We start from the raw sequence: 7,371 nt of genomic DNA, 5'->3' as shown, positions 1-7,371 counted from the left end.
GCTAGCACGGTGAAACCCCATCTCTACTAAAAATACAAAAAAAGAAAAAAAAAATTAGCCAGGCGTGGTGGCGGGCACCTGTAGTCCCAGCTACTCAGGAGGCTGAGGCAGGAGAATGGCGTGAACCCGAGAGGCGGAGCTTGCAGTGAGCCAAGATCACGCCACTGCACTCTAGCCTGGGGGACAGAGCAAGACTCCGTCTCAAAAAGAAAAAGAAAAAATAATAATAATTATAATACAGCATTTATTTTGTATTAATGCTGGCAAGAGTTAAAAGATGATGTAATTAATGGTATCTGCTTTAAAATATTAGCTATCACTATTATCATCACATAATGGAAAAGGCCTGACACAGTGGCTTATGGTTGTAATCCCAGTGCTTTCAACTGCTGAGGTGGGAGCATAGCTTGAGGCCAGAAGTTTGCAACATGCCTGGACAACATAGCAAGACCCCTGTCTATACAAAAAATTTTTTGAATTAGCTAGGTGTGATGGCATGTGCCTGTAGTCCTAGCTATTTGGGAGGCTAAGGCAAGAGGATTGCTTGAGCTGAGAAATTCAAGACTGCAGTGATCTATGACCGTACCACTGTGCTCCAGCCTAGGCGACAGAGCAAGACCTTATCTCTTAAAAAAAAAAAAAATAGTGAAAACATTTACCATGTGATTAAAAGTGATATATTCGCTTTTGTGAGAAGAGCAATGTATTTGCATATAGTGGTAACTTCATTTTATTACCAGTTTAGGAGAAGTAATACATGCCAAAAAGAAAGAAAGAAAAAAATCTTGGGAAAAAACTCTTAAAAATTCTATTCAATTTACTGGTATGATTGGATTGCCATTGCTGGAAAAATTAATAGTTATAAATAATATGAAAAGTTGTCTGGAGAAAAGCTGCCAGGCATGGTGGCTCACACCTGTAATCCCAGCACTTTGGGAGGCTGAGGTGGGCAGATCACCTGAGGTCGGAAGTTCAATACCAGCCTGGCCATGGTGAATCCTCGTCTCTACTAAAAATACAAAAAATTAGCCAGGCGCGGTGGTGCGTGCCTGTAATTCCAGCTACTCAGGAGGCTGAGGCAGGAGAATCACTTGAACCTGGGAGGCAGAGGGTGCAGTGAGCTGAGATCATGTCATTGCACTCCAGCCTGGGCAACAAGAGTGAAACTCCGTCTTGAAGAAAAAAAAGAGTTACAAGCCAGGCTGTGACATTTCTGCCTTTACAATTCTTTCTGCAGGCTTATTACCTCCTGACATCTAACCTTTATGTAAGTGGCCAATTGCTCTTTGCTGACTACTCCCCGAGTGTTTGCTTTTACAAAGTAAATTGTATCCCACTGATAAGGGTGGTAGGAAATCTACCTTTAAATCTGAGAAGCCATGGTTGATAAGGGAAAGTGATATAGTTTGGATATTTGCCCTACCCAAATCTCATGTTGAATTGTAATCCCCAGTGTTGGAGATGGGGCCTGATGAGTGGTGACTGGATCATAAGAGCAGATCCCTCATGAATGGCTTGGGCCATCCCTTTGGTGATAAGTGAGCTCTCGTTTCTAAGTTCACATAAGATCTGGTAGTTTAAAAGTGTGGGGCACCTCCCCACCACTATCTCTCTCTTGCTCTTGCTTTTGCCATATGATGTGCCAACTCGCACTTTGCCTTCTGCCATGATTGAAAGCTCCCTGAGGTTTCCCCAGAAGCTGAGCAGATACCATTGCCATGATTTCTGTACAGTCTGCATAACTGTGAGCCAATTAAACCTCTTTTAAAATAAATTGCCCAGTCTCAGGTATTTATAGCAATTCAAGAAAGGCCTAACATAAAAAATTGGTACCAAGGAGTGGGGCATTGCTATAAGATACCTTAAAATGTGGAAGTGACTCTGGAACTAGGTACAGGGCAGAAGTTGGAAGAGTTTGGAGGGCTCAGGAAGGTGAGGGAAAGTTTTCAACTTCTTAGAGACTGGTAAAATGGTTGTGACCAAAATGCTGATAGTGATATGAACAGTGAACTCCAGGCTGACAAGGTCTCATATGGAAATGGGAAATTTACTGGGAACTGGAGAAAAGGTCGTGCATGTTAGGCCTTAGCGAAGAACCTGCCTGCACTGCATTCATGCCTTAAGGATCTGTGGAAGTTTGAACTTCAAAATGACGATTTAGGGTATCCATTGGAAGGAATTTCTCAGAGAGAGAGAGCAATTTCTGAGAGAGAGGAATTCAAGCAGATTGTGGAGCAACGACTTGCTAGAGAAATTTGCATTACTAAAAGGGAGTAAAGTGCTAATAGCCAAGAAAATAAGGAAAAGGCCTTAATGGCATTTCAGAGACCTTGGCAGCAGCACCCCCCATCACAAACCCTGAGGCCTAGGAGGGCTGAATGGTTTCATGGGCCAGAGCCAGGTCATTGCTGTACTGTGAAATCTCAGGACACTGCTACCTGCATCCAGGCGACTGCAGCTCCAGTAAGGGCTTAAAGGGGCCAGTTCAGGCTGCCACTTTGGAGAATGCAAGCCATAAGCCTTTATGGCTTTCATGTGGTGTTAAGCCTGCGGGTGCACAGAATGTGAGAGTGAATGAGGCTTGGCAGCCTCCACCTAGATTTCAGAGGATGTATCAAAAAGCCTAGGTGTCCGGGCAGAAGCCTGCTGCAAGGGCAGAACTATCACAGAGAACCTCTACTAGGGCAGTGACAAGGGAAAATGTGGGATTAGAGTCCCACACTGAGATTCCACTGGGTACTGCCTAATGGAGCTGTCAGAAGGGGGCCACCACCCTCCAGACCCAAGAATCATAGATGCACCAGCAATTTGCACTCTGTGCCTGGAAAAGTCACAGGCACTCAACTCCTGACTGTGAGAGCAGCTGGGAGAGTTGCACCCTGCAAAGCCACAGGGACAGAGCTGTCCAAGGCCTGTGGAACCGGTGTGGTTTGGTCTGTGTCCCCACCCAAACCTCGTCTTGAATTGTAATCCCAACATGTCAAGGGAGGGACCTGGTGGGAGGTGACTGGGTCATGGGGGTAGTTTCCCCCTTGCTGTTCTCATCATAGTAAGTGAGTTCTCACAAGATCTGATGGCTTAAAAGTGTTTGGCAGTTCCCCCTTACGCTGTCTCTCTTGCCACTAAGTAAGATATACCTTGCTTTCCCTTCACCTTCTGCCATGATTGTAAGTTTCCTGAGGTCTCTCCGGCCATGCAGAACTGTGAGTCAATTAAAGCTCTTTTGTTTATAAATCACCCAGTCTTAGGTAGTAGGTTTATAGCAGTGTAAGAAATGGACTAATACAGGAGCCCACCTCTTGCACCAGTGTGCCCTGGATGTAGGATATGGAGTCAAAGGAGATGACTTTGGAGCTTTGTGATTTAATGACTGCCCTGCTTGGTTTCAGACTTGTGTGGGGCTTGTAGCCCCATTTCTTTTGGCCAGATCTTCCCTTTTAGAACAGGAATGTTTATGCAATGCCTATACTCCCATTGTAAATAGCTTGTTTTTTATTTTACAGGCTCACTGTTGGAAGGAACTTGCTTTGTCCAAGATGAGACGTTGAACTTTGGAATTTTCAGTTAATGCTGCAGTAAGTTAAGACTTGGGGGGACTATTGGGAAGGCATAATTTTATTTTGCAATGTGAGAAGGACATGATGTTTGGGAGAGGTCAGGTGCAGAATGACAGTTTGGATATTTGTTCCTGCCCTAATCTCACGTTGAGTTGTAATCCCCAATGCTGGAGATGGAGCCTGGTGGGAGGTGTTTAGATTACGGAGGCTGATTCCTCATTACTAGTTTGGGTCATCCCCTTGGTGATAAGTGAGCTCTCCCTCTGATTTCACATGAGATGCAATTGTTTAAAAATGTGGGTCACTTCTCCCTTCACCAACTCTTTCTCATTTGCTCCTGCTGTCATTATGTGATGTGCCTGCTCCCACTTCACCCTCTACCATGATTTAAAGTTCCCTGAGGCTTCCTGAGAAGCCAAGAAGACACCATTGCCATGCTTACCATACAGCTTGAAGAACTGTGAGCCAATTAAAACTCTGTTCTTTATCAATTACCCAGTCTTGAGTATTTTTTTATAGCCATACAAGAATGGCCTTATAAAGAAAGTATGTCTAAATTTCCTAAGTACCTATGGATTTGTGCCTCAAGAGGCTGCTTCAGTCCTGCTTGTTCATGTGTTGTTAGGAAGCTTAGAATGCCTCATTTAAGTGGTTACATTTAAGGTGAAAAGAGGAATAAATTACTCTTAGTTGTCTGGTTAAAACTGCAGAGGCAGTTGAATGATGCGTTTGGTGGGTGGCAGCAAATGCATATCAAGATTGCCCTGTCTATAAGCTGATTCTAAAATCATGAAGGAAATGCAAAGAACCAAGAAACAGATATGGAGGCCTTACACAATATACTATCAAGATTGATTATAAAAACATAATAATTAAGACAGTATGCTACTGGTGTAAGAAGAAACAAGCTGATCAGTGAACATAATGGAGTCCAGAAATATACTCACACATATATGATCACCTTACACATGACAAAGGTAAAACTGGTATAGCAAGGAAGGGATGATTTTTCTCAACAAATGGTGCTGGTCTGTTCTGATGTTGCTTGGAGAAAAAAAATGATGCTGGGCCAACTGGAAATTCATAAGGAAAAACTTTTAGCTTAAACCCTACCTCACACTATCAACAAAAATCAATTCAGTAAGATTTCATATTTAAATATTTAAAACAAGAGTTTAGAAGAAAACATAGAGGGCTAGGCACGGTGGTCACGCCTGTAATCCCAGCATTTTGGGAGGCCGAGGTGGGCGGATCACAAAGTCAGGAGATCGAGACCATCCTGGCTAACACGGGGAAACCCCATCTCTACTAAAAATCCAAAAAATTACTGGGTGTGGTGGCATGCGCCTGTAGTCCCAGTTACTCGGGAGGCTGAGGCAGGAGAATCGCTTGAACCTGGGAAGTGGAGGTTGCAGTGAGCCAAGATCATGTCACTGCACTCCAGCGTGGGTGACAGAGCGAGACACTGTCTAAAAATAGTAATAATAAAAAAAATGAAAAAAAAGAAGAAAATACAGAACATTTCATGACCTTGGAGCAGACAAACATTTAAGCAAAATATGCTTACTATAAAGAACATCGGTAAATGTACTACCTTAAAATTAAGAGCTTTTTTCCTTAAACATATTCTCACAACACAATATATTCAACAAAGGAACTGTACACAGAACACAAAAATATATTTTAAAAAATTAACATGTCAGTATAAAAAAGACAAGCAACCCTCAGCCTCCTAAAGTGAGCAAGAGTTTGAACAGCTATTTCACACCAGGACAAAAACCAATAATCACCTGAAAAGTGCACAACCTCATTAATAATCAGTGAAATGAAAACTAATGCCATAAGGTACCACTACATGCCTACCAGAATAACATGAAAGACTGACACCACTAAGTTTGCTGAAGATGTTGGACAATTGGAACTTTGGAAAGTTGTTTGGCAGTATTCATTAAAAATGAACATGATGTATGTACTATGACCCTGCAATTCCATTCTTAATCTATCTAATGTTGCTATAAAAGAATATCTGAGGCTAGGTAATTTGTAAAGAAAAGAGGTTTATTTGGCTCATGGTTCTGCAGTCTGTACAAGATGCATGGTACCAACATTTGCTCATTTTTTTATTCCAACTTTTATTTTAGGTTCAGGGCATACATGTACAGGTTATATGGGTAAATTCCAGGTCATGGGGTTTGGTGTACAGATTATTTTGTGAACCAGGTAATAAGCATAGTACCTGATAGGTAGGTTTGTTTGTTTTTTGATTTAAGAGTGGAGGTTTAGTAGGTGAAAGAAAAAGAAAAGAGAACAGCTCTCTCTCTTGCAAGAGAGAGGGGAGCCGGAATGGGACTTCCCTGATAGATAGGTTTTTTGAGCCTCCTCCCACTCCCAACCTTAAAGTAGGCCTTGGTATGTACTGTTCCTTTCTTTGTATTCATGTGTATTCAATGTTTAACTCCTGCTTAGAAGTGAGAACATGTTTTCTGTTCCTGTGTTAATTTGCTTAAGATAATGGCCTCCACCTCTATTCATGTTGCTGCAAAGCACGTGATTTCATTCTTTGTTATAACGGCATAGTATTCCATCGTGTATATGTACTACATTTTTCTTATCCAGTCCACCATTGATGGGCATTTAGGTTATTCCAAGTCTTTGCTATTATGGATAGTGTTATGATAAACATGCGCATGCATGTGTTTTTATGGTGAAACAATTTATATTTCTTTGGGCATATATCCAGTAATGGGATTGCTAGGTCAAATGGTAGTTCTTTGAGAAATCTCAAAACTGGTTTCCACAGTGGCTGGACTGATTTACATTCCCACCAACAGTGTATAAGTGCCCCCTTTTATCTGCAGCTTCATAACATCTTTTTTCTTTTTTAACTTTTTAACAAAAGTCATTCTGACTAGTGTGAAAATGATATATCATTGTGGTTTTGATTTGCATTTCTCTGATAACTGGTAATGATGAGCATTTTTTTATGTTTGCTGGCTTCTTGTATGTCTTCTTTTAAGAAGTGTCTGTTCGTGTCTTTTGCCCATTTTTTAATGGGGTTGTTTGGTTTTTGCCTGTTAATTGGTGTAAGTTCCTTATAGGCTCTGGATAATAGACTTTTGTTGGGTGCATATTTTGCAAATATTTTCTCTCATTCTGTAGGTTGTCTGTTCACTCTGTTGATAGTTTCATTCACTGCGCAGAAAGTTTTTTGTGTAGTTACCATTTGTCTTTTTTTTTTTTTTGTAATTGCTTTTGGCATCTTCATCATGAAATCTTTGCCAGGGCCTATGTCCAAAATGGTATTTCCCAGGTTTTCTTCTAGGGTTTTTGTAGGTTTGGGTTTCACATTGAAGACTTTAATCCATCTTCAGTGGATTTTTGCATATGGTGTGAGGAAGTGGTCTAGTTTCAATCTCCTGCATATGGCTAGCCAGTTATCCCAGCACTATTTATTGAATAGGGAGTCCTGTCCACATTGCTTGTTTTTGTTAAATTTGTTGAAGATCAGGTAGTTGTAGATGTGCAACTTTGCTTCTGGGTCCTCTGTTTTGTTCTATTGCTCTACGTGTCTGTTTTTGTACCAGCACCATGGTGTTTTGGTCACTGTAGCCTTCTAGTATAAAGTTGGGTAATGTGATGCCTCTAGCTTTGTTCTCTTTATGATTGCCTTGGCTGTTCAGGCTTTTTTGGTTCCATATGAATTTTAGAATACTTTTTTTTCTAATTCTGTAAAAAATGTCATTGGTCATTTGATAGGAATAGCACTGAACCTGTAAATTGCTTTGGGCAGTATGGCCCTTTTAACAGTGTTGAT

General features: G+C 41.3%; 1 annotated feature.

Annotated features, from left to right (window-relative positions):
• Positions 2,114–2,613: an enhancer, noted in NCBI's record as "H3K27ac hESC enhancer chr18:13775047-13775546 (GRCh37/hg19 assembly coordinates)". NCBI's record gives its function as "activates a minimal SCP1, AML or CMV promoter by ChIP-STARR-seq in naive H9 embryonic stem cells {active_cell/tissue: H9 hESC(naive)}" and the evidence as "EXISTENCE:reporter gene assay evidence [ECO:0000049][PMID:30033119]".

This window comes from Homo sapiens, chromosome 18 (genome assembly GCF_000001405.40).
Source record: "Homo sapiens chromosome 18, GRCh38.p14 Primary Assembly".
Classification (NCBI taxonomy): domain Eukaryota; kingdom Metazoa; phylum Chordata; class Mammalia; order Primates; family Hominidae; genus Homo; species Homo sapiens.
Note: the sequence above shows the minus strand (reverse complement) of the source record. Positions and strands in the feature narration are given on the sequence as shown.